This window comes from Homo sapiens, chromosome 3, assembly GCF_000001405.40.
Source record: "Homo sapiens chromosome 3, GRCh38.p14 Primary Assembly".
In the NCBI taxonomy this organism is placed as follows: domain Eukaryota; kingdom Metazoa; phylum Chordata; class Mammalia; order Primates; family Hominidae; genus Homo; species Homo sapiens.
In genome coordinates, this window is record NC_000003.12 from 42,692,595 (window position 1) to 42,716,460 (window position 23,866).

Here is a 23,866-nt window from a genome sequence, read left to right on the forward strand (position 1 = left end):
CAGCTCCTCAGCCACTATGGACGTGGAGCCAGGGGACTGTGGGAAGAAGGGTCAGGGAACAGCCAAGCTGTTGTAGAAAAGTCTTTTATTCTATCGGTCAGGCCCCATCTGGCCCAAGAATAGCTGAGCAGAGCCCATCCCTCTACCCGCTCCCTCCTACTCCGGCTTCTCTTTGTCCTGCTTCTGCTCCTCCTCCAGTGCCAAGGTTCGCTCACGCTCCTTTACCAGCTGGACGCCACAGTAGGTGACAAACAGGATGGACAGCGTGGTCTGGGGGAACCCTGTGTGGGGAGGGAGTCATAGATGCTCAGGAGCAGCACTGCATCCTCAGCGACTTTTGTCTTCCCACCCCTCTCCCCGCTTGATGGGCCCTCCCTTCTGAGTCCCAGGGGTGATGAGGGAGATAGGAGGCATTTTGGAAGGTCACGGTCCTTGAGGCTGATGCCTGGCACCTTCTGTATCCCCACACCCCTGTCCCTCACCTGTGAGTAGCAGGCGCCGGGCAACCAGCTCTGTGAATTTGAGGCTGTTCAGGCTCACAAGGTTGTACATGATGATGGCCCAGAAGTTCATGGCTCCAAACAGGGCCCGGACCCTACGGGACATCTGCACTGACAGAGAGGCCTATCCGGTCCAGGAAAGCATGGGCAGCGGGACAAGAGGCCAAAGGAAAGAGGACATGGTGGGTCAGCAGCCTTACCCACCTGGCCAGTCAGGTCTTGGGGCTATGTCTGGGTCTCGGAGAGCCCCAGGTCAGCTCTCCCTCCTTGTTAAACATGGGGAAACAGGTCCAGAGAGAGGACAAGGCCTGACCAACATGGCAAGGCCCAGGTGCTCCATTCCTCATAGAAGGGAGGGAGGGGCAGATTCCTACAGAGTGAGCCATTGCTCTGACAACTAAGAGGGTGGTGGTGAGAAAGTTCTGGATTAGGGGCCAGGTGTTTGGACAACTCCAGAAAGCAGCAGTGCCCCCCCGCCCTCTATGACCCAGCCAGTCCCAGCCCCAGGTCTTCCCTGCTCACCTCAATTCGTGCTAGGGGCCCCCACTCTGCCAGTTTTTGCATCCAGAGCTCAAAGTTGAGGCCAAAGCAGTTAAGGAATGACCACAGGTAGACAATGTCACAAGGCCCAAGCCACAGTGTGGTGATGGCAAATGTGGCCACTGTGGCTGCCAGCTCTGGGATCACAGCGGAATGCTCCCCACCAATGTGGTTATACACATATCTGCAGGAAAGATGGGAGAAGGGCCACTGGGAGTGTGGGAAAGGGCAGGGATGAGATGGGAGAGGACACACAACAGGGCGTCCTCCTCAACACTGTCACCCTGGGTGCATTCAACATTCCTGACCTCACGTAGCAGCTCCTCCTCCAACCAACTTCAAATTGTGGCAGGCTCAGCCTGGGACATTATAGCTTCTCTATCTCTGTTCGTTTACTTCCCAAATGATCTCATCCAGACCCAAGATTTCAAGTACTAGCTCTATGACGATGACCCCTAAATCTGTGTCTTTAGCCCAGTCTCTCCTGATTTGTATATGCAATTGCTACTAGCCATGTCACTTGATTGACAGATTCCCCTATCCCTGCTCAAACCCAGCTCCGTCCTCATCTCAGTGAATGGCACCACCATCCATTCAGTTGCTCAGGGTATAAGCCTTGGTGCCATCTTGGATTCTCAGTTTGCCTCATCACCCACATCCAAGCAAGCCAGCAAATTCTGTTGGCTCCTCTCAGTCCTGACCACCACTCACCTCCTCTACCACCACCACCCTAGTCAAGATGATCACTCTTCTCACATAAATTATTGCAAGAGCCTCTTAAGTGGTCTTCTTGTTTCTGCTTTTGCCCCCATGGTTCATTCTCCACACAGCAGCCAGAGGCATCTTTTAAGAGTGTAGCTCAGGTCACATCACTTCCATGATTAACCTCTCTGAATAGCTCCCCATTACAATAGGAATAAACTCAGTCTCTTTACTCTGGCTAGAAGATCCCAAGTGGTCTGGTTTCTGTTCCCTTCCTGACCAAATCAGCCACCATGCTCCCCCAGTTCATCATGCTGGCCTCACTGGCCTTTCTTACCTTTACACCCACACAGTTGGTTTGTGTCTCAAGGCCTTTGCCCTTGTTGTTCCCTCTACCTGGTATTCTCTGCTCCACATCTCCTTATCACTCAAATCTCAATTCAAATATCATCTCCTCAGAGAAGCCTGCCTAGACCCCGACTAAAGAAGCTTCTACCCTGTTGTCAACTTCTATCCCATTGCAATTTTATTTTCTTCATAACACTTACCACTCTCTAAAATTATCTTATTTATGTTTGTTTACCTGTTTATGGTCTGTTTCTCCCCACTAGACTGTAAGCTCCATGAGTTCAGGGTCTTTGCCATGTTCACTGCTGTATCCCCAGTGCCTAGAACAATGCCTGGCACATAGGTGCTCAATAAATATTTGTTAAATAAGTTCTGTGGAAGACCCAGGAATAACCAGCCTCTCCATTCCTCGACCTCCTCATTTCCAATGGCTTTTTCTCCACTCCACCTCAGCCACCCACACCCATGGCCATGCCCCAACTTTGTCACCACTTGAAAGTTCACTCCTTTCTAATTCCCATTCTTTGCCCAACTCCTCTTGACCTCCTGGCCCCCCAGCTTCAGTTCTTCAATCCCATTGATCTTGTGACCCTCCCACCTTCACCACCGTCCTTAGCAGGCTTATATCCAATGAGTCATGACTATAAATAATCTAAAAACCCTTATTCCTGACTTCTTCCTTGTCATCCATCTGGGAGAGCCCAATCACTTACTTTCTCCTCAGCTACACCCAGGCAGCTAAGCCCCATGGGGGAAATCTCACATCTTCACATGCTGGAGTTCATAAGCCCACCACCTCCAATACCACCTGGGTACTCAGTGCCAAGATTTCTCTAGTCAGCTGCTTCTCCCTTGCTCTGCAAGGGCCACTGTATTCTTATCTCCCCACAAGTATGAGTGGAGAGATAGTATGAGTGGGGGGATCCAGGCTGGGTTGTGGGGGTAAGCATATATGTTGCCTCTCTCCACGTCCCTGTCCTGGCTTTCTCAGCTGATGGCCGTGCCTCCTGCTTCATGGACAAGGCTGAAGCCTTCAGGTGGAATCCCTTACTTGTCTACATTAACCTGCTTTCCTCTGCATCCACACTGGCTTCTCTTCCTCCTCCTCCCACTGAAGCCAGGCCTCCGCCTGGAACTAGACACCCTCACCTCCTTCCTCTTCAGGGACCTCACTCCATCAATCACCCCTGTATCCTGCATCCCCAGCTTCTCTGTTGAATAATTCTTCTTAGCATGTCCCATTCTCTCCTATCTTTAACACATCCCTCTTCTCCCTCAGCCACTCCTGTCTTCCCCCTGCAGTCCCAGGCTTCTTCCAGGAGTCATCACACACTTCTCTACTCCTCAGTTGACTTTCCCTCCTTACCTGCTCCTGCCTTGCCCATGAAAGGCTGAAAACCTCCATGTCACCAGCACTAATCCTCGGTCTCCAGCTTCCTTGAGGCTCAGTGGCATCTGACCAAGCTGTCCCCACCATGCCTGGATGGTCTTCCCTTGGCTTCCAGGGTGGCACATGACCTTGATTCTTCTCCTGCCCCTCCAACTACTCTTTCCAGTCCTTTCTGCTGGCTCCTTTTCCTTCCAAGCAGAGCTCTTGCAGGCTGAATCTCGGCCATCCCCGTCTCTCCTCTTCTCACACCACTCCCTCTCCTGAGGACTTACCCACTCCCAAAGCCTAAAAACCACCTGCCCACACTCAGGACGCTCTGAGTTCCATCAGTCCTCTGGACCCTCAGAAACCCAGACCCTCAGACCCAACCACCTCCCTGAACCTCCACAGGGATGTCTCCTAGATTGCGACTATACATTTCTTAAACTGAAGCCCTCTCTGGAAACTGCCCTCCATCCTCCCAGGCTGCAGACAGCAATTTGAGCGTCATCTCCTTCTCCTTCCCAACACCCACAGTTCATGGCCACGTCCTGTTCAGGCTGCTGACTGTGTGACCCTCCTCCCACCACCTCTCTCCACCTCGAGGGCCCTCACTTAAATCCTAACTTCTATATCTTTCACCCAGACCTCTGCCAATACCTCCTCACTGCCCTCTTTGCTTCCCCTGGCCCAGGGGTGATCTTTTAAAATGTGGACCCATCTTGGCACTGCCCTGCTCAGACACCTGGCAGGATGGCTGTGACCACCCCCACCCCACTCCTACTCACTTGCAAAGCCAGTCGTTGATGCCACGGTCAAAGTGCCTGTAAGAGGAAAGCAGATGGGCATGTTGCCATCAGGCGCAGAGCTCCCCAGGCATGGGGGAAGAGGCTAGGGGAAGGTGTGGTCCCAGGGGGTGAGCCTCCCCCGTCCTGGCCAGCACTCACGTTTCCGCAAAGACGTAGAGTGCGGTGATGCACTTGGGAGGCTGGGGTGGGTCCAGGTGGTCGAGGCATGCCACAGTGTTGACAACACCAAAGAGGACGGCCGCCTTCACCCAGTCATACACCAGGTTTGAATAGGCTAGGCCAGCTGGGGGCAGGGCACTGTCACTGCCTGGGGTCCAATCGCCTGGGGCCTGCCCCCATGAAGACCCTGTCCCACCACTTCCTTGGGGAGACACCAGGCTCTGCCCGCCCCACGGAGACCCCCCCATATTGTGGAAATCAGTCATGCCTGGTGAAGTGGGTGGGGTCCGTGGGATGCTGCTCTGGCCCCACAGGATGAAGCTAATGCCAAGACCCATGCATTAGAAAGAATAAGCCCCTGCTCCCACGCCCTCAGGTGCTGTGCCCTGCGTGCCTCAGCTCCCCTGACTGTGGCACCGTGGGGGTGCAGAGGGTCTGTTTTCCTGGGGCGGCAGCCCTGCCCCCATTTCTCTTCTGTGGACCCACCGAGGGCACTGTCTGGGAGGCGGTTGGCGAACTTGAGGTCGCTGGGGATAGTGAGGATGTAGAAGAAGTGAAAGAAGATGTCGACGGCCATGATGGCCACCACGCTTAGGCCTGCCTGGGCTCGGATGTGCCACAGCTCACCCTCGCGTCTCACTGGCTCCACCTGGCTCACCTGGGGGGATGCGAAGGGTCTGAGGGAAGAGGCAAGCCCTGCCTGGGGAGCCCTGTCTGAGGGGGGCTCACCAACTACTTGGGGCAGGAGGAGCCATGGCTTTATCCAGGAGTCCTGCCTGAGGGTGGAGACAGAGGTCACCCTGGAGTCTGAGGAGGATTCACAGCCAGCCATGGGAGACCCAGTTCTGTCCTGGGAGCCCCATTTGAGTGGGAAGGGAACATTCGTGGCCTGGGAGTCCTGTCTGAGAAAAGAGACATGTCTCCACCCTGGGGTCCCTGCTGGAGGGGAAAGGTGGCCCCATCCTGGGGTCTGAGGAGGGAGGGGAGACACGGCTTCATCCTGGAATCATGCCTGAGGATGGGGATACAGCCTGCTTGGGGAATTCTATCTGAGATGGAAACCCCAATCTGAAAAGGGAGATTCAGCCCTGTTCTAGAAGCCCACAGGGTGTCCCCTCACCTGAGCATGGAAGCGATCAAAGGTCATGATGGGCCCGAAGAAGAAGAAGGGCAGGTAGAAGTTGTACTTGAGCAGGTCAGCTAAGGAGTAGTGGCGGTCAGGGTGGGCACAGCTCTCCAGTGCAAAGCTGGTGCAACGCAGCACTGTGAAGCTGCTGCCCCCATGAAACAGCACCTCTTGAAGATCAAAAGTGCCTGTTACAAACCCGCTCTGGAGGGGGAAAGAACAGGCCACCAGCTCACTAGGGTGCCTCCTGTCTCTGGAAAACCTATTCCCCACTCCCTAGCTTCCCACAGGGGCCCAGCCTGGTCCTGTCCCTTCCTCTCTTCCAGAGCCAGTTAACTTTGGCCACTGCTCTATCCCAGCAATGCGAGGAGCAGGGGATGATCTGGATAGTTCCTCCTGTGATGCAGGTGCTCACCTTGTGGCCAGGACATACCCAAAGGCTTGAAGACAGGTGGAAAGTGAAGGGAATACTTGGGGATACTTGGGGTGCAAGGACTTTGGATGAAGTGAGAGGTTTGGGATCTTATCCCTACACCCTCTACCCCTGCACCAGTTCACACCTGCCAAGAGATTAGGGGGTCCATCTTGAAGGAGGCCAGGCTGGCCAAGCCAAGGCCAAGACAGAGCCAGGGCTGGCCCAAAAGCGAGGCCACATAGAGGCCCACACAGTGACCAAGCAGCAGCAGCAGGTACCAAGGGCCCATTGTGCCCATCACAGCCAAGGCCCCGTACACAGCATACATCCAGGAGCGGAGCTGTGGGCAGGGAGAAGGCTTCAGTTTCGCCATATAAATGGGGGCGTGACCCCAGGAGGGGGTTCCCACAACCCTTGTGGTGAAAGAGGAGCTGGCAGGGAGAGGCTGGGTGGCCCAGGTCCAGCTCACCTTTGGGGCAACCATCGTGCAGAGTTTAGCAAACAGCACATGTCCGGAGAGGGCAAAGATGATGACGTTGCGAAAGGAGGTGAACCACATCACCCACTCGAAGTCAGCCACATCCTGGGGCAGTCCGGGGCAGAAGGAGGTGGGGCAGGTGAGGGTGGGAGAGGGGACAGGACGAGCTGGAACCTGGGCTGGTCAGAGCCCCAGCACCTTTCCCAGCCTTCATGTTCTTCTTTTATTATTATCATTTTTAAATTTAATAATAATAATTATTTTTTACCACTAGCCAAACCCAACGTGTCCTCTTTATGCAAACACAAGAGCAGTGCCTGCAGGTCTCCACACTCCTCTGTGAAGGAAGTACCGAGGCAGGAGGGTAGAGAGGAGTGAAGGGCACCATGGGGGCTGCCGGGTCGCTTGAAGCTCCCCCTCTCCTCCGCACGTTGCCTGCCATTCCCCCTTTACTGCTTTGTTTCTGGGAAGGAGGTGCTGGAGGCTCCACTGAAGCACACTCCACTAATGCGACCTATTTCCCAAGTGAGCAGGGCCCGGGCAAACTTGATGTCCCAGGAGGATACAGGAGGGGCCAGTAAAGAAGCTGAAGGCACTGAAGCTCAAGCCAGAGGCCCCAGAGCTGTGAGAAGCTCTCTGTTACTTGCCAACATCTGGAACAGCAGAGAGCAGAGAAGGGTTCGGGATGGGAGGGACCCTGGGATGTGGGGGACCTACCATCTTCCGGCCAATGTACTCCCAGCCAGGTCGCACAGACTCCCGGAAGGCCTTCCTGTGGGCCCCATCTGAGAACAGAGTGTGGCCTCAGGGAGAGGGGCCTTCACATCCCCTGCCCCACCTTCCCCCGTGGACAAGGCTGCCCCACCCTGGGGAGCGAGGGCATCAGGAACGGGGCACGGGTCTGAGTCTCTTTGGTGCTGCATCTGCTTCTTTCTGGGTCTCGCTGTGTGTCTGGGTCCAGGACTCTGTGTGTGTGTGTGTGTGTTGGGGTGTGTGTGTATATGTCTGTGTGTTTGTGTGTGTGTCGGGGTCCAGGTCTCTGTGTGTGTGTGTGTGTGTCGGGATGTGTGTGTGTGTATGTCTGGGTCTAGGTCTCTGTGTGTGTGTGTCTGGGTCCAGGACTCTGTGTGTGTGTGTGTGTGTGTGTGTGTTGGGGTGTGTGTGTATATGTCTGTGTGTTTGTGTGTGTGTCTGCATCCAGGTCTCTCTCTGTGTGTGTGTGTCTGGGTCCAGGTCTCTGTGTGTGTATGTGTGTGTGTGTGTGTTGGGGGGTGTGTGTATATGTCTGTGTGTTTGTGTGTGTGTCTGGGTCTAGGTCTCTGTGTGTGTGTGTGTGTGTCGGGATGTGTGTGTGTGTATGTCTGGGTCTAGGTCTCTGTGTGTGTGTGTCTGGGTCCAGGCCTCTGTGTGTGTGTGTGTGTGTGTCTATGTGTGTGACTCTGTGTCCATCTCTCTGTCAGTGTCTCTGCATCTCTGTGTTCCTGTGACTGAACCTGGCTCCACCCAGCCTCCAGTGACTATCTGAGATGGGAACCCCGGGCTGAAAAGGGAGATCCAGCCGTGTTCTAGAAGGAGTACCCTAGGTCTGGAGCCTGTAACTTTCTGGCTTTGCTGGTTGGAACCCTGAGGCCTCCAGGGGAAGAAGGGTCCTGTCCACCTGCCCCGGGGCACAGCCATTACCTTGTGAAGCCTCAAGGAGGCCCCGGCCAGCATAGGCCAGGGCCCCACTCAGCACCAGAGAGTAGAGGCCCAGCTCAGCCGCCGGCAATGCTGTCTTGATGCCCATAGCCTGGACAGGGCTGGGGAGACAGGTTGGGTGAGGGAATTACAGTCTCCAGCCAAGCCTAGCCCCACCTCATGGTCCCACCACCCCAGTGGGGACCCACTCTGAAGAGAGATTGCCCCTCCAGCCCCTTGGGGACCTTGTACCATCACTCTGCCTGCCCCTGTGCCCCCCACAGTTCACAGGCCACCGAACACCAGTGCCCCATCCCAGCTGCTGCTCTTGCCCCCACCCCACCCATCAAGGCTCTTGCCCGCAGAGCCCTCACTCGCAGCCTGCCTCCCTCACCTTCATTTACATCTTCATACCTTCCAGAGGCACCGGCCCCACCCTCTGCCAAAACCGCTCCTGCCAAGGCCCCCATGACCTGCGTGCGGAGAAACCCCACCTCTATCACTACAGTCAGGTTTCTGCCTGCAGGGTCCCCACCTCGATCAGTGAGTCTCCCTTAGCTCCTCACAAAGCCCCAGCTTCTCTAAGACCCTTTCTCTGACTCCCACTCCCCTCCCTGAGATCCCATGACCACCCCAGGTGCTGCCCCTAGAGCCAAGCCTCCATCCTCGCATTAAGCCTCCAGCCTGTCACTGACCCCCATTCCCCCAACAAGTCCCTGAGCTCCAGCCTGTCACATCCCAGTCCCTGCCTGTGTCCGTGACCACACTGCCCCACTCTCTCAGCGCTCTGTGTATTCAGGCCCTGGGCACCAGCTGGAGGCTGTGCTATTTGAGGAGGTGCCCAGGAGTAGCGGATGTGGGGCCAGGCGGGGCCAGGCGGGGCCAGGGAGGGCACTGGCTGCTGTCCAAGGTGCTGACCAGAATCAGGCCCCGGCTGAGTCTCACCACTCCCTCCAGCGGGGGCCTAGCTTGTCCCCTGGAGAACTGCTGGGCCGTACTACGGCTCAGCTAGCACCTTTACCCTTCCTATCCCGCTTCAGCCTGGCTCAGGGGCTTCCCAAGGACTCCATGGATACAGACATAGGACCCAAATTAAAGGGAGGAAGCAGGGAACATGTCCAGGCAACTCTTGGGCTGACGGGGCCAAGAGGTGGCTGATGTGGCCCTTTTGCCCACCCTTGATCCTCCCCTAAATCTTCATCCCCAGCCCTGTAGCCATCTCCCCTGGGCCCCCCAGCAGCCGACGGTCTCCTCGTACAGATGGAGGGGTCATGGGCCAGATAGGGGCAGGGACCTGTCAAGGTCACATGGCAGACCTGGGACAGACTTCTGCCTGCCTCCCTTCAGGATTGGGTTTCTCAGTGACCCCCCTCTGGAATCTGGGGTAAGAGAAGACCACCACTGCCCCTGCCCACAGCAGAGGCTGCCAGCCTGATGGCTGTGCTGTCGGCCTGAGGGTGGAGGCACCTCCTCATCAGTTGGGTGGGGGTGGAGAGGCCCTGGGGATCAGGTTAATGGAGCAGGAGCTTGAAACCGGAGCATGGTGAAGAGCCCGTGAAATAGCTTTGTCAGCTGCCTCCCACTCGCCACTTTCCAATTTTAGCTCCCCATGGCCGGTGCGGGGTGTCCCCAGTGAGGCCTCTGCAAGGAGCTGGCCCCCAGCCTGGGGCCTCTCCTGATAGACCCCCAGACCAGGGCTGGCCTGTGGACACGGGGGCATACCCTTTCCCCTGGTCCTGCCTGCCCCAGATGCCCCGGGGGTAAAGCCCCTTTTGGGGCCTGTGATTTGGGATGAGGGCCTGGGGTGTGCCCCACAAGTCTCAAGAGCCCCAGAGTAGCTGCATCCCCAGCTGGCACTGACCTTGAGGAGGCCGCAAGGGACCCTGGCACACTGCCCACCTCAGGCTCTGGGGTCCGGCTTCCAACTGTCCGTCCGTGCGACCGGCTGAGCTCTGGGGCCACGGTGGGGTGTGTCCAGCCCTGGGGTCCCCACCCCCTTGAGGTTATGAGCGGTGAGTGGTGACAGCGGGAGGAGGAGGGGGAGGAGGAGGTGGCCTTCCTGGAGCGGAGCTGAGCAGAGTGGAGCAGAGCCGAGTGCTGCAGAGCTGCTGGCCACAGGGAGCCGCAGGGAGGATCCTTGAAGGGGGGCGGGTGCTGGGTGGGGGGAGGGTGTCCAGTAGCATAGGCTCAGACAGGGACACCTGGGCCTCTCTTCAGCCTGCCTCCCCTGGCTCCTAGAGAGCCTGTGCCTCTCTCTCACTGCTACCCAGGACTTCCCTCTTCCAGGAAGACTCCTGGTGGTCCCACCAGCCTCTCCAGGCTTGTAAGCCCTGCCCCCACCACAGACACACACAGTCACAACATGCAAACACTTTCATGCTTGGGCTCCAGGGACTCCAGCTCCTACCTTTACATATGACCTCCTAAGGGCTATCCCAGGGCAGACTTGTCTCGCCCCATGACCTGGTCCTTTTCATTATGCCGTGAGTCCTGGCTGGCCATGCATCAGTGCCTGAGGGAGGGCTGACTTGCCTGATGGGACTGGAACTGGCATGGGACATGTGGCTGAGAGGGATCCCCATAAGTCAGCCCTGTCCCATAGGGAGTGTCCTGGATGGAGGGGTGCTAGCAGGGTCACTTGGCAAGGCTTGTGGGTACTTGGAATGGCTGGTATCCTCTCGGTGGCAGAGTGGAGGCAGACAGGAAGACAGGTGTGTTCCTAACCAACTGGGAGTCCTGGTAGGACAGGGCCCTCATTCTGGAAGGGAGCATCCAAGGCCTCAGCCCTGGATACCTGAGGGGAGGGGCATCCTGAAGGTGCCCCTGAGATTAAGAACCTCTGACAGTGCCCCTTCGGTTGAGGCCAAGTCTCGGGCAGCTGTATGTGTCTGTGCTATCTAGGGGGACCTGTTCACCTGTGTGCTTGTGGGGAGGCTCTCGGGGGTAGAAGGAGCTTTGTGGCTGTGATCAGTCACAGGACAGCTCCTGGAGCCCCTGCTGATCCTATGACCCCAGCTTCAGGCTCAGTTGAGGAGGCAGGAGGGAGGTGCTGCTCCCCACCCATCAGGGCCCAGGAAGGGGAGAGACTGCACTTAGGCAGGGAGCTGCCTCCCGAGCACATAGACACGCTGGCCTGGAGAACAGCAAGGAGACGCCCAACCTACACACTCCACACAGGACACAGAGGCCCGTGTCTGTGGTCCCCGACCCTGAGAAGCATGAATGGTGACTACTGCACAGTGTGGGTGCTGGGTTAGAGCTGTGGTGGGTAATGGGCACTAGAGAGGCCAGCATCAGGAAGGGAAGGATACCTGAGCCAGACTTCAGGGTTAAGGAGGGCTTCCTCAGGGAGGGGTAGTCAAAGGTTGTTAGGAGTAAGTTAATCATAGTAGCCAGGATGTACATGGATTAACTTTTTAATGTCACCACAGCCCATAGGGAAGATGTTGCCACTGTACGCAGTTGGGAGAAGAAGGACCTGGCACATGAGGAAGCCAAGTAGTTGGATCAGCCCTGTAAGCTCCTGGCACTGACTGCCCTGCAGGGGCGACAACCCCGTGCACCCACACTGGGGCCCTCACGAGGCTCCAAGAAAATGGCTCAAGGGAGCAGACAGGGTGGTTTGACCCCAGAGTTAAGAACACAGGTTCAGCCAATTTACTTGACCCTGAGCTGGTGTGACCCACTTCTTAGGGCCTCAGATCCTCAGTTGTAAAATGGGCATACCGCTGGCCCTGGCCCTCACTGGGGTGGCAGGGGGCATCCGGTGATTCACTCCATGACAAGAGCCTTGCTCATAAACAGAGGCTATTAGAGAGCCACAGACACCCTGACCCCCAGAGGCCCAGAAAGGCTGGATTCACACTCAGAAGTGAGGCCTTCCCTGGGTGACCCACACACAGCAGGGTCTGCAGGGAGTGTGGTGTGCGGAAATGGCAAGAGGGGTGGAGGGCTAGGGAAGTCCCATGGATCTGTGGTTGGACAGCCTGAGGCCAGCTCCACTGTGTCTGAGGGGGGTGGCAGGGGAGGGCACCTGGCAAGGCCAGCCCACGTGAGGGACAGGAAGCTGACTGAGCTAAGACCAGCACTTGGCCCTGGGGCCAGCTTCCCAAATGCCACAAGGGCCACTAGGAAAGATATGGTGGGGAGTGGGGACAATTCTCTCAAATCTGAGTCCCTTTTCAATTTTCAGACTTTTTTTGTTTGGTTGTTGCTCAAAGTAAAAATGCGAGGAAAGTATCCTGTGTGTTTGCATGTACGTGTGCAACTGTGTTTTGTATCAGTTGTGTGTGGGTCTGTGTGTACGTTTTGTGTTGTAGGTTGTTCATGGCATGTGTTTGCTGTGTATGTGTATCCTGTGTATTGTGTGTGCACATGTATCGTACATACGTGTGTATATGTGTGTTGTGTGTGTGCAAGGCTCACAGATATAGGAGAGTCAGTGTACGTAAAGGCACACCTGTGGGGAGAAGGTGGGCAGGCCGACTTCTTTGTGCTCAGGGCTGGCTGTGGGCTGGCTGGGGGTGGGGAGGAGAAGCTTGTTCTGGCCCCTGGGTGTGGGGGTGCAGAGGAGCACACCCACTGGAGGTCACCCTGCCCTGGGCTCCTGGGAGCAGGGGAGGGGCCCAGTGACAATGTAGTGTGTTTAAGCCTGAGCCAGGCTGCAACCTTGCCCAGCTCAGCTGTGGTGCCCCAGAGGCCCCTGTGGGGACAGTGGCCAAACTACGTCCACAGCTCAGCCAGGTCTCACCTGTCAGTGCTGGAACCTGAGCACCAAGACCTGCAGCACCTGCCTGGGGTGTGGCAGGGAGAGCCCTCACTTGAGGCAACTTCACCACTTAACTCTTTACTTGCCCCTGCCCCTCAACCCGCCAGGGCACCTGCACCCTCCCCTCCAACTACCTCCTCGTGGATCTGGCCAGGGCCCTTGGTGTCTTATCCAGCACACCTGTTGCCCACCTGCCTGAGGGACAGGGAGGTCATCCTCAGGGTGCCCAGGACAGATGGTGCTACCCAGGAGAGGCACTGGTACTAACCTGGACAGACCAGCTGCCTGGCTGTGCACCTGGCCCACCTAAGTTAGGTTTCTCAGGGTCCCTATCTTTGACCCCTTTGATGACCTCCTTCCCTTGAAAATCCTTCTCCCAGGCTCTCCCCACCTTCCCTTTACTCCTCCTTGCTCCTTTGCCTCAGGGAGATGTGAAGCCCCCTCTCTACCCAGATCTGATCAAGGAGGTTGGGAACTTGGGAACTGCCACAGGGATGGGGTGGGGATGGTGGGGGAAGCCCTGTGGTGCTGCAGCCCGGTCCTGCATCCTTCCCCACCCAGCTCCATCATGGCGTTTCCCACACCTCTGATTGGACTGGAAACTCCCTGAAAGGAGGAAGCAAGTCAGATTCACCTCTAGGTCCCTCCCAGGCCTGGAGAGGCTGGCATGCTGTTGGCACTCACTGACTGCCTGGTGGCCGACTGGCTGGATGGAATGGTGACCTGTGACCAGTCTGTCTCTCTCCTCAGCTGATCTGAGAGTTCCTGGAGGCCAGGGACTGTGTTTGCCTCACCTCGGCACCTCTGTGCCTGGGGCAGAGGAACTGCTCAACAAGTTCTGGTTGAACAAATGGAGGGAACACTAAGAGCGAATAATTATTAAGCGCTTACTGTGTGCGAGCAGCTGCTGTAAGCAATGGACACTTTATCTCAGTGAACCCTGCAGAGGGTTCCAATGAGGGAATGGAGCAGACCTGATCTAACCAAGCTAGGGGTGGGGAGGTGCCCGGTGGTAGGTGCCAGCAGACATGACAGGCACTCCCGCACATGGCACCACAGCAATGCTGTCAAGGTTGCCCGTGGAATCTGAAAGCTGAAACACTCATCTTTATATACAGAGTTGGCCAAAGCAAGACACCAGCAAATCAGTTTACCCAAAAATGTGCAAACAAGATTTCCTGTGCCTGCCTGTCTGCAGTTTTTCTTTCCCCTCTCTCTTATATAACTCTTGTTGAAATCAGTCTATAGATACATGTTCCTTGTACAGAAATAAACAGAGAGCTAATAATTAGTGAAACGTCTTTGGGTTATTCTTTGACATACATATTAATAACAGCCCCCTGAGGGAGGATTCTATTATTGTCTGCATTTTATAGATGAGAATGTGGAGGATCAGAGAGGTTAAATAACTTGCCCAAGGCCACACAGCTGGTAAGTGGGGAGAGAAGTATGCCCCAGGCAGCCCCACCTGTCCAGACTCCATGACCTAATGCTCCTTCCTTTCTCAGGCATAGCCCAGGAAGGGCAGCAGAACCACCCTGAAGTGGCTGGAGTGTGGGTCACACCATCTCTGCACTTCCCTGAGGTGATCTTGAGGAAGGATGGCTGATCCTATGCCTGCTTCTCACTCCCTGGGACTGCACTGAGGCCAGAGCCTGTACCCCTCATACTCAGATCACCCTCTGGAGCTCCTCAGGGCCTGCAGGAGAAGGTGCTGACTCCTCTGTGTTCAGACTCTACATCCAGCCCACCCCTCGCTGTCACACACTGTCCCCTCCAAGCACAGACCCTCTCTCTCCTGGCTCTCTGCCTGGCCGTTTTCCTTCACAAGGAACCAGAGAAAAACTCTTCCTTCCCAGAGACCCTTAGGACCCCACCAGAATCATCAGTTCATCCCGGTGGCCTTTGCTCTAACTTGCTGTGGGATCTCTAGATCCGTGTGACCCCATGCAGGGTCAGGGGCTCCCTGAGGAGTGGGGGCCAGCTAGGGTCCCTCCATAGCCCCATCCCCAAGGAAGGGGCTGAGAAGACAGGGTCCCAGGAGCCGCAGTGGCTTTTCCAAGGAAGGAGCTGACAAGATGCTCGCAGGAGCCCCAGTGGCTTTTCCTGGGGAAGGGGGTGTTTTCACAGTATGTGCACCTGCATTTGTGCATCACTGCACAAGCAACACACAAGTGGCTATGTCTTCACGTGTGGGAATGTGTGTCCACATCCACATGTGTGTGCTCATCTGCACCTGTGTGTCCATGAGTGTGCACACATGGAGGTGCCTGTGTGCACGTACAGTTGCATGCTCCTGAATTGAGGTATGTGTGTGCATCTGCATCTTTGTGTGGGGCTGTGGGTGCACCTGTGTGGCCAGGGTGTCGGAGTTGGGGTGTGTGGCTATGAGTGACCCTCCTTGGGGCCACTCCTTCCTGTAGCTATAAGTGCATAGTTACAGCTGAGAAAGGGCAACACTGACAGTCATAGAGGCCTGCGGATCTTAGGGTGCCCCTGCAGCATCCCTCCAAGTTCACCATGGCGAGGGAGGTGCACTGTACCTTTGACTGGAGCCACTACCTCAAAACCCTTCTGCCTGAAGCTCCAGCTGAGCCCCACCTCGGCCCTCTGCCACCAGCATCCATCAGCAGTCTTGGTGAGCAAACAAAGATGCCTCTTGGAGCTGCTGCCTAGGGGTGGGGTTGTTCAGTGGTGGGTGGGTGCGCCTACCCTGGGTAATCTCTGAACGGCAAGACCCTGGTTTTGGGGTCAGGCAGACTGCAGTTAAATATTAGCTCAGCTTCTTTCTGTGAACCTCAGTTTCTTCATCTGTCAAATAAGACAACAAACCCCTGGGTCATTAGAGGACTGAATGGGGTCAGGTTGCCACAGTAGATGCTCACTCACTGGGAGCTGCAGTGATTATGAAAATACTTATTATTATTACAAGTCCAAGGGTCTGCACCTGAGGAAGTGTCCTGAGGAGTGGGCTGACAAACTGGTTGAGAGCATAGTGCCCCAAGTCTGTGTAGGGTGTGGACGGCTACAGATGGAGCCGGGATGGGGGTGAGGGGATAGGGCAGGGCTGAGTGGCATGGGGGATATGCCCACTTAGGGTAACCAAGGGCTCTTCTGTGTGTGAAGCCATGGGGACATCCAGGGCTAGTACCTAGGATGAGGGCGATGAACACCTGCCCGAGGGACTGCATCTGTCCATTCACAGCCGCCTTGCCATCCCAGAGCTCTCGCCTCTGCCAGTGGGCTGCTGGGCCTCCCTGCTGCTGTAACCCAGCCAGCCCAGGGTCTCCTGCAGTGTCCCACCAGGGCTTCTCTTCTGCCTTCCTGGCCTGAGACATTGGTTTTGGTCATCCTTAAGGAGCCTCTTCTGGTAGAAGTGGTTGAGCTGGCTGCCCTGGGCTGGCTTCCCGGAGCAGATGGAGTCCTCAGACAGAGTCTTATCCTCTCAAGACCTGAGGCTGCCCACCCGGCCAGGCCGACACTGGGCTGTCATCCTATTGCTTGCCTGTCTTCTGCTGCCGCAGGGCCTGCAGGAAGACACTTTTCACCTGGCCCAGGATCTCATGGTACATCCGGAAGTCCTCCTCCTTTCCCCGCAGGGCACTGCCCAGGGCAGCCTTTAGCATTTCATTCTCCTCCACCTGGATGGCCAGCCTGGACCACAGGAGACAGTGCTCAGTGTGGCTGGAGCTGCACACAGGTGTGCGTGGGTGACAGAGGGCCCTGGGAATGTGGTTGCCAGCATGGCTGCTCTTCAGGCTCAGGCTTCCCTCTGACCCATCCCCTCCTCTCACTGACTCTTGTGGGTACCATGGATTCCTCTCTATGGGCCTGGCTCCCTGCAATGTAAGCTACCTCAAGGCCCCTTACAAATTGAGTTCCAATTTGTAGAGGTTCCCGTCTTTCCCTTCCCATGGCTGCGTGGGGTCTTAAAAGGTTTAACGTAGTGAGAAACTGGTTCAGTGATCCATGCTTGATAAAATTTCTCTTGGACTATGGGTCATTGGGGTTTGGGCCGGGCCCTCTGTCCTCTGAAGGCCAGTCCCTGAATTGCAGGCCTAGAACCCAGGACCAAACAGGACAAGCCTTCTGGGCAAATGAGTCAAAAGTGCAAGGGGAGGGACACAGTCCCTCTGCCCATGGAGGCACCTCTGCTCAGACAACCCTACCCTTTCAGGAAGGCGGGGCAGGGGAGCACCTGGTTGTCAGCTCTTCCATTTGGGATTCCACGGGCACATCGGAGAGCTGGGCAAAGGATGGGTCCTTCTTCTCGCTCCCGGTTGGGTTGTGCCTGTTGTTAGAGGTGGGCAGACCTGTGGGGCAGCAGCAACCACTTTCTGTGAGGAGGCCACAGCCCTGTGCTAGCACCCTGCTTCTCCTCCCGCCATTGCCCACTGCCTGCTCTTCCACATGGTGAAACGCTACACCGCCTTCGGGGTGCAGGGCAACTCTGAGCTCTGCCTCCCTCCGAAGCCCTCCCTGATGCCTCCTCTGCATGCCTCTGCCCCTGGCTTTGGCCTCTGCTACAGCCCTGACTCTGCTCGCTTTGTACCAGGGTGGTTCCTCACCACCCTGTCTCCATCTTTATACTTTACAAGTTTCTGGTAATTTGTTTTCTTTTTTTTTTCTTTTTTTTTTTTTTGAGACAGAGTCTTGCTCTGTCACCCAGACTGGAGTGCAGTAGCGTGATCTCAGCTCACAGCAATCTGCGCCTCCAGGGTTCAAGCGATTCTTGTGCCTCCCGAGTAGCTGGGACAACAGGTGCCTGTCACCATGCCCAGCTAATTATTGTATTTTTTGCAGAGACAGGGTTTTATCATGTTGGCTAGGCCTCCCAAAGTGCCAGGATTACAGGCGTAAACCACCATGCCCAGCCTGGTAATTTGTTTTCAAAAAGAGAAACCAGCTGAGCCTGAGGTCTGGCCTGCAGGCTGAGCCCGAGTCTAGACTGTCACTGTACCTGATGCCCTCATACCAGTGGTCCCCATCCAGGCCATCAGCTTCATACTAGGAAGCAGGGGATCCAGGGTCCTGGAGTTGAAGGGTACAGAATGTTCACAAAAAGGAGACAAAGTGGCCCACGGTGGGGTGGTCCCAGAACTTTGGGAGGCCAAGTGGGGGCAGATTGCTTGAGGTCAGGAGTTCAAGACCAGTCTGGCCAACACGGTGAAACCCTGTCTCTACTAAAAATACATAAAAATTAGCCAGGCATGGAGGCATGCACCTCAAGACTAGTCTTGTGTAAACCTGTCTCATTGCTGGGGAGGCAGCAGAGTGGCTCTGCCCTCTACAGGGGCTGGACTGAGTGTTCTTCAGGGCCTTTCCTGGCTCCAGGGGACACTGCTAAGCTGCCCTTGGCTTATTCCACGCATTGAGCACCTCCACATCCCCAACTAGAGCTGCCCTGGATGGGAAACTGCTTGTTCAGCCTGATGGAATTTTCTAAGCCCTGTGACACAGGGAATCAAAAAGAGCCTCAGCCGGGTGCGGTGGCTCATGCCTATAATCCCAGCACTTTGGGAGGTCTAGGGGGGTGGATAATTTGAGGTCAGGAGTTCAAGACCAGCCCGGCCAACATGGTAAAACACCATCATTACTAAAAATACATAAATTAGCAGGGTGTGGTGGCGAACCCCTGTAATCCTAGCTACTTGGGAGGCTGAGGCAGGGGAATTGCTTGAACCAGGGAGGTGGAGGTTGCAGTGAGCTGAGATCGCACCGCTGCATTCCAGCCTGAGGGACAGAGTGAGACTCTGTCTCCAAAAAAAAAAAAAAAAAAAAGACAAAGCTCAACTGGTGGTGGCGAACTTGGGCAAAATCACAGCATCAGAAAACCTCGGGACTGAAAAGGCCCTCAGAGGTGGTGTGACCCACAGTAAATTACTTGGTATCAGAAGACCTGGCTTTCGCCCTCTGCTGAGAGGCCTCAGGCAAACTATCAGCCTCTCTGAGCTGGTTTCCTTAGCTGAAAAAAAGGATAATAGTTTATGCCTCTAGAGCTTTGGCAGCCTCAGTGAATTCTATTTGGCTCTCAAGGCCCTGTGTGATTGGACCACTCCAGCCTCCCTGCCTCCTCCCTGTTCCTCCAAGCATCCAGCTAAGCTTCCAAGCACCGACACTTGTCTTTCCCTCAGGGATCGGCAGGCCACATCCCCTCCCAGTTCCTCCATCTCTGCTCAGATGTCTAGCTCCCCTACTGGAGTGAGACTGCCATGGGGGACTGAATTATAAATCTAGCCTCCTCATTTTACGGATGGGCCAGGGGGAGGCGGGTAAGTGGTGCTCTGCTCACCAGAGGGGCAGGATTTTGCCCATGTTAAAAGCCAGTAGGCAGCAGAGGCCACCTGGACACTTTCCCTCAGGCAGCTGCCCTCACTGTCCAGCAGGGAACAAAGTGACTTGCCTGCTGTGGCTTAGCTCTCCCTGGTTGGAAGTCCTGCTGCCCTACAGGAGGTAAGCCCCAGCCTGGAGAAGCCACACTCCTAGGGAACATATTCCTGAGAGTCCAAGAGGGTCAGCAAGGCTAAGCCCCAGAGACCCTTCCTTCCCGGCCTGGATTCTCAGAAGCTCCTGGCCCTGCTGGTGGGAGAAGAGAAAGCAAGTGGCCCCAACACCCTCTTTATGCCCTACTTCTGGCACACCCTTCTGAAACGTTCTGACCTCATCTGGGCTGAGGACTGAGACCAAGGGTCTGACCATCCTTGGCTGGGGAGGGGTTGGGGGGCTACTGGGGTGTTGAAAGAGGGTGCAGTGGGGGCAGCAGCACCTCCAGCATTCCAGCCTGGAGGGGGCTGGGATGGGTGGGATGGGAGGTCAGACAGAGGCAGGCCCAGCCCCTCCACATTGGAGACCCTTCCTCCCTGGGAGTCAGCCATCCCAGAAATGGCTTCTGGCTCTGGCATCCTCCAGCTCGCCCCAGCCCCACAGGATGCTGATGCTGCTCATCTGAATACTGCACCTTGAGAACCACTGTGTTCGAGCGATAGACTTTTCAGTTAAGGATAGCATTTCCCAGCTTCCCTCTGCACCTGGCTATGCCCAACTGTCTGGCTGATGGGATGAGAGCAGAAGTGACATATGCAACCGTAAAAGGTAAGGAGAAGTTTGTCTCCTTCCCTTCTCCCCTTCCTGCTGCTGATGGGAAAGCTCAGGCAGTCATTGTAGACCAGAAGATGGAAGCTGCATGTTGAGAACAGTGGAGCCACAAAACAGAGGGAGCTTGGGTCCCCAAACCTCTGGTGAGGCTACTTCCTGCTTATATCAACTTGACCATTGCAGGAGGCACAAAGGGACTCCTCCCCTGCTTCAGCCACTGTTGCTTGGGCTTCCCCAGCAGACCAGCTGTGCCCCATGACCACTTTGAATGAAGTCAGCTTAGGATAGAGGGTTGAGGGCTAGGGTGGCTGGGGGCATTCAGCACTGCCACCTCATGCTGAGGGCTTACAGGTGGCCAGGCCAGGGCCACACGAGGCAATGGAGCTCTGGGGCTCCTGCTTCTGACTGAGAGGCCTGGGGAAAAGAACACCCCACAGTGGAGGCAGGCAGAGCTCCACCCTGATGGAAGCTCTGCTTCCCACATGCTCACTGATGGGCTGAACAGTGCAGCTGCCTGGCTCCTCTGTTAGCAGCAACACTGCCTCCACCCCCTGCACTGAGACTACTGCCCTGGCCCCTACCTGTTTTGGTCCTGGGAGCTGCTCTCTGGGAGGCTGATGCCTTCCCTGGCTCCAGGCGTATCTTCTCCAGATGTTGCTCCAGCACCACGGTGCGGTGTCGCTCCTCCTGCAGCTTCCTCTCTGACTCCAGGAGCTTGCTGTTGCTCTCCTCCACCCTGGTGATTAGAGAGGAGGGGATGCTACATGCCCTGGCAGGCAGGGGCAGGCCCTACCCCACTTGCTCAGGCCCTTAGAGAGATGGGCACATCTTACATTGGTAGTGATGGGACCTCTTCATTTTCATTGCAGTAACACAGGAACATGCATTTAAACACCATATGGTTCTCTCCAAGGTTAAAATTTAAAAATTATCAGCCCACTCCCAGCCCCATCATTCCCAATTCCTGCTCTCTAAAAGCAATCACTTATAACACTTCTAGCTGTTTCTTTTAATATTTACTGCCATATTTCTACAGATGCTTATGTTGCTATTTTTAGGTTTATATAAGGTTTAAATATAATCTTTTGACTTCCTGTCATGCAAAATAAGAATTTAGTTTTATTTTAGTACTCTCCTCCTACGAAACAGAATCACCTGTATACGTTTTTGGATGAATTGATATTAGGTATCAGTTTTCTATCACAGCTATAACAAATTACCATAAATTTAGCAGCTTAAAACAACACAAATCTATTATCTCACAGTTCTGTAAGTCAGAGGCCTGGCAAGCTCAGTGGGTTTCTCTGCTTCTGGTTTCACAAGCCGAAATCAAGGGGTTGGCTGACCTGGGCTCTTATCTGGAGGTTCCGGGGGAAAATCCACTTTCAGGCCCATTCAGAGTGTTGACAGAATCCAGTTCCAGGTAGTTGAAGGACTGAGGTCCCTGTTCCCTGCAGGCTGCTGGTCAATTTCACCTTCTAGGAGCCACCTTGCCCCCTCCATCTTTAAAGCCAGCTAGATACCCTTAACACACTTTGAATCTCACTACCCTCTCTGACTTCCTCCACAGCAACTCTCTGAATAATCCCAGACGGAGATATTTCTCTGCTTTTAAGGGCTCAAAAGATTACATTGAGCCCACCAGATAATCCAGGATAATCTTTCCATTTTAGGGTCCATAACAATAATCATATCTGCAAAATCTCTTTTTCATGTAACATAAAGCACTCACAGGCATAACAGCAGGGAGCAAAGGGCATAGACACCAAAAGCCTGTCTACGTTAGGACAATTAGTTAGAGCCATGACGCACAGTGTCATATGTCCTTTCTCATTTAATTGTTCGCTTTTCTTGGAGTTAGTGATTATCTTAAGCTTATTGTTTTGTTTTCTACATGCCTGTCATAAATGTTATTTCACATGAAGCACTTGTTTAATCCCACTGGAGCTTGAGCTTAGGTCCTTCCTGTGGCTAGGTGTGCCATTTCAGACTTCTATGATACTAAAGGTTCATTTAGTGAGAAAGCCAGAACTCCCTGAGATCTAACCCAAGCCAAGAGTTACATGCACACCTGAAAATTAGAGGGGCAGCCTTGAAACTGACAGTGTTGGAGGAAGTGATCTTTCCACCTTGGTGAAGGGTCAAAAGGAACAGAATGACAACAATTTTGAACAGTATACAACTACTAATAAAAAGCTGTATAGTAACACAGTAAACAGCTACTAACACATATTTAAGCATATTCCTTGAGATTTTATTTGCAAAAGCAAAAACCCAAAACAACCTAAAGGCCCATCATCAGGGGACAAACAAGTAAGTGGTAACATATTCATACTATAGAACGTGATAGAATATGATAGAGCTGTGCTGCCCAACACAGTGACTGCGAGGTTCATGTCCACATGTAGCCATTAAAATTAAAGTTCAGGGGCTGGGCCCGGGGTCCCACACCTGTAATCCCAGCACTTTGGGTGGCCGAGGTGGGTGGATCACCTGAGGTCAGAAGTCTGAGACCAGACCAGCCTGGCCAACATGGTGAAACCTCGTCTCTACTAAAAATACAAAAAAAAAAAAAAAAATTAGCTAGGTGTGGTGGCATGCTCCTGTAATCCCGGCTATTTGGGAGGCTGAGGCAGGAGAATCACTTGAACCAGGGAGGTGGAGGTTACAGTGAGCTGAGATTGTGCCATTGTACTCCAGCCTGGGCAACAGGAGCGAAACTCTGTCTCAAAAAAAAAAAAAAAATTAAATTTCAGGCCACGCACGATGGCTCACGCCTGTGCTTTGGGAGGCATAGGTGGGTGGATCACTTGAGTCCAGGAGTTCAAGACCAGTCTAGACAACATGGTAAAACCCCATATCTACAACAAAAAATACAAAAATAAGCCTGGCACGGTGGCGTGTGCTTGTAGTCCCAGTTACTTGGAAGGCTGAGGTAGGAGGACCACTTGAGCCTGGGAGGCAGAGGTTGCAGTGAGCCGAGATCGCACCACTGCACTCTGGCCTGGGCAACAGAGCGAGGCTCTGTTGTAACAAAAAGAAAAAAAAATAAAGTTTATGAAAATTAAATTAAAAATTCATTTCCTCAGTCACACTAGTGACATTTCAAGTTCTTAAACTGTATTGGTCAGTGCAGATACTGAACAACTCCATCATCACAGAAAGTTCCACTGGTCAGTAGTGGAGTGTGTTAGTTATCATGAGAGTGGGTTTCTGATAAAGGATAACTTTGTCCCCACTTCAACTTTCCCCATGCCATTTCCCTTCTGCCTTCCACCACGGGATGCGGCAAGAAGGCCCTTGTCAGACGCTGGCACCTTGATATTGGACTTCCCAGCCACCAGAGCTGTGAGAAATAAATTTCTTTTCTTTATAAATTACTCAGTCTGTGGTATTCTGTTATAGCAACACAAAATGGACTAAGACACATCCTTGGACCCAGCTGGGTAACATACCTGAACTCCAGGACAAGGAGAAAAATCTTATAACAACAGCACAGCTAATACTTTTTTTGAGTGCTTTCCACATACCAACTACTGTGTTAAGGCACTGCATAAGCATTATTATGTTTAATTCTGTAAGTAAACAAGATGTACTAATATTACTTCAAGAAGACACAGAAAATCTAAATTTGAAAAAAGGTTGTCAAAGATCTACCTCCAAAAAAAAAAAAATCAGGTCAAGCCAGGTTCTCAAGAAAGTTCTATCTAACCTCCAAGGAACCAATGATTTTTGCTATTCTGACAATTCCACAATATAGAAGAAATAGATGGCTTCCTATAAGTTTACAAAAAACTTGATTTCCCAGTTAATAATAGGGTAAATGTATTAGTACTGCTGCATAACAAGTTACCACAAATAGTGGCTTGAAACAATAAAA

The 23,866-nt window shown here is 54.2% G+C and overlaps 2 protein-coding genes and 1 long non-coding RNA gene across 19 annotated transcripts in view, besides 2 other annotated features; 1 reads left to right on the forward strand and 2 right to left on the reverse strand.

Annotated features, from left to right (window-relative positions):
* On the reverse strand, positions 69-10,204 carry HHATL (hedgehog acyltransferase like). Of its 12 annotated transcripts, none has more exons than NR_027753.2 (13): positions 8,873-8,927; positions 8,518-8,596; positions 8,127-8,245; positions 7,164-7,231; positions 6,438-6,551; positions 6,114-6,308; positions 5,548-5,757; positions 4,914-5,085; positions 4,407-4,551; positions 4,248-4,283; positions 1,023-1,224; positions 483-624; positions 69-281 (listed from the first exon to the last, which is right to left on the reverse strand). NR_027753.2 is itself a non-coding variant. In XM_011533969.3 (13 exons), the coding sequence occupies exons 2-13, from the start codon at positions 8,591-8,593 to the stop codon at positions 157-159; spliced, it is 1,584 nt and encodes a 527-aa protein (XP_011532271.1). In that variant the 5' UTR covers positions 8,594-8,596; positions 9,985-10,204; the 3' UTR covers positions 69-156. The 12 variants fall into 12 exon arrangements, 11 of the variants coding, with proteins under 11 accessions (XP_011532271.1, XP_016862425.1, XP_016862424.1 ...); XM_011533969.3 differs by lacking the exon at positions 8,873-8,927 and adding an exon at positions 9,985-10,204 and having other exon boundaries at positions 8,538-8,596; XM_017006936.2 differs by lacking the exon at positions 8,873-8,927 and adding an exon at positions 9,985-10,204.
* Positions 3,830-4,432: an enhancer, noted in NCBI's record as "H3K27ac-H3K4me1 hESC enhancer chr3:42737916-42738518 (GRCh37/hg19 assembly coordinates)". NCBI's record gives its function as "activates a minimal SCP1, AML or CMV promoter by ChIP-STARR-seq in naive H9 embryonic stem cells {active_cell/tissue: H9 hESC(naive)}" and the evidence as "EXISTENCE:reporter gene assay evidence [ECO:0000049][PMID:30033119]".
* Positions 8,920-8,989: a silencer, noted in NCBI's record as "silent region_14249". NCBI's record gives its function as "represses an Ori minimal core promoter by ATAC-STARR-seq in GM12878 lymphoblastoid cells {active_cell/tissue: GM12878}" and the evidence as "EXISTENCE:reporter gene assay evidence [ECO:0000049][PMID:35858748]".
* HHATL-AS1 (HHATL antisense RNA 1) lies at positions 9,947-14,171 on the forward strand. The gene is made up of 3 exons (NR_146957.1): positions 9,947-10,135; positions 11,555-11,638; positions 13,453-14,171. It is a non-coding gene; the product is annotated as an HHATL antisense RNA 1 (long non-coding RNA).
* CCDC13 (coiled-coil domain containing 13) overlaps positions 11,524-23,866 on the reverse strand; it is a 69,136-nt gene continuing 56,793 nt past the window's right edge. For 5 of the 6 annotated variants that reach the window (XM_011533418.3, XM_005264898.4, NM_144719.4 and 2 more), the window contains 3 exons: positions 20,568-20,722; positions 17,090-17,204; positions 13,162-16,545 (listed from right to left, as the gene is read on the reverse strand). In XM_011533418.3, the coding sequence (XP_011531720.1) occupies positions 16,386-16,545; positions 17,090-17,204; positions 20,568-20,722 (430 nt within the window). In that variant the 3' untranslated portion in view covers positions 13,162-16,385. Of the gene's footprint in view, positions 16,546-17,089; positions 17,205-20,567; positions 20,723-23,866 lie in introns of all 6 variants that reach the window. The other variant, XR_940385.1, reaches the window with a different exon arrangement.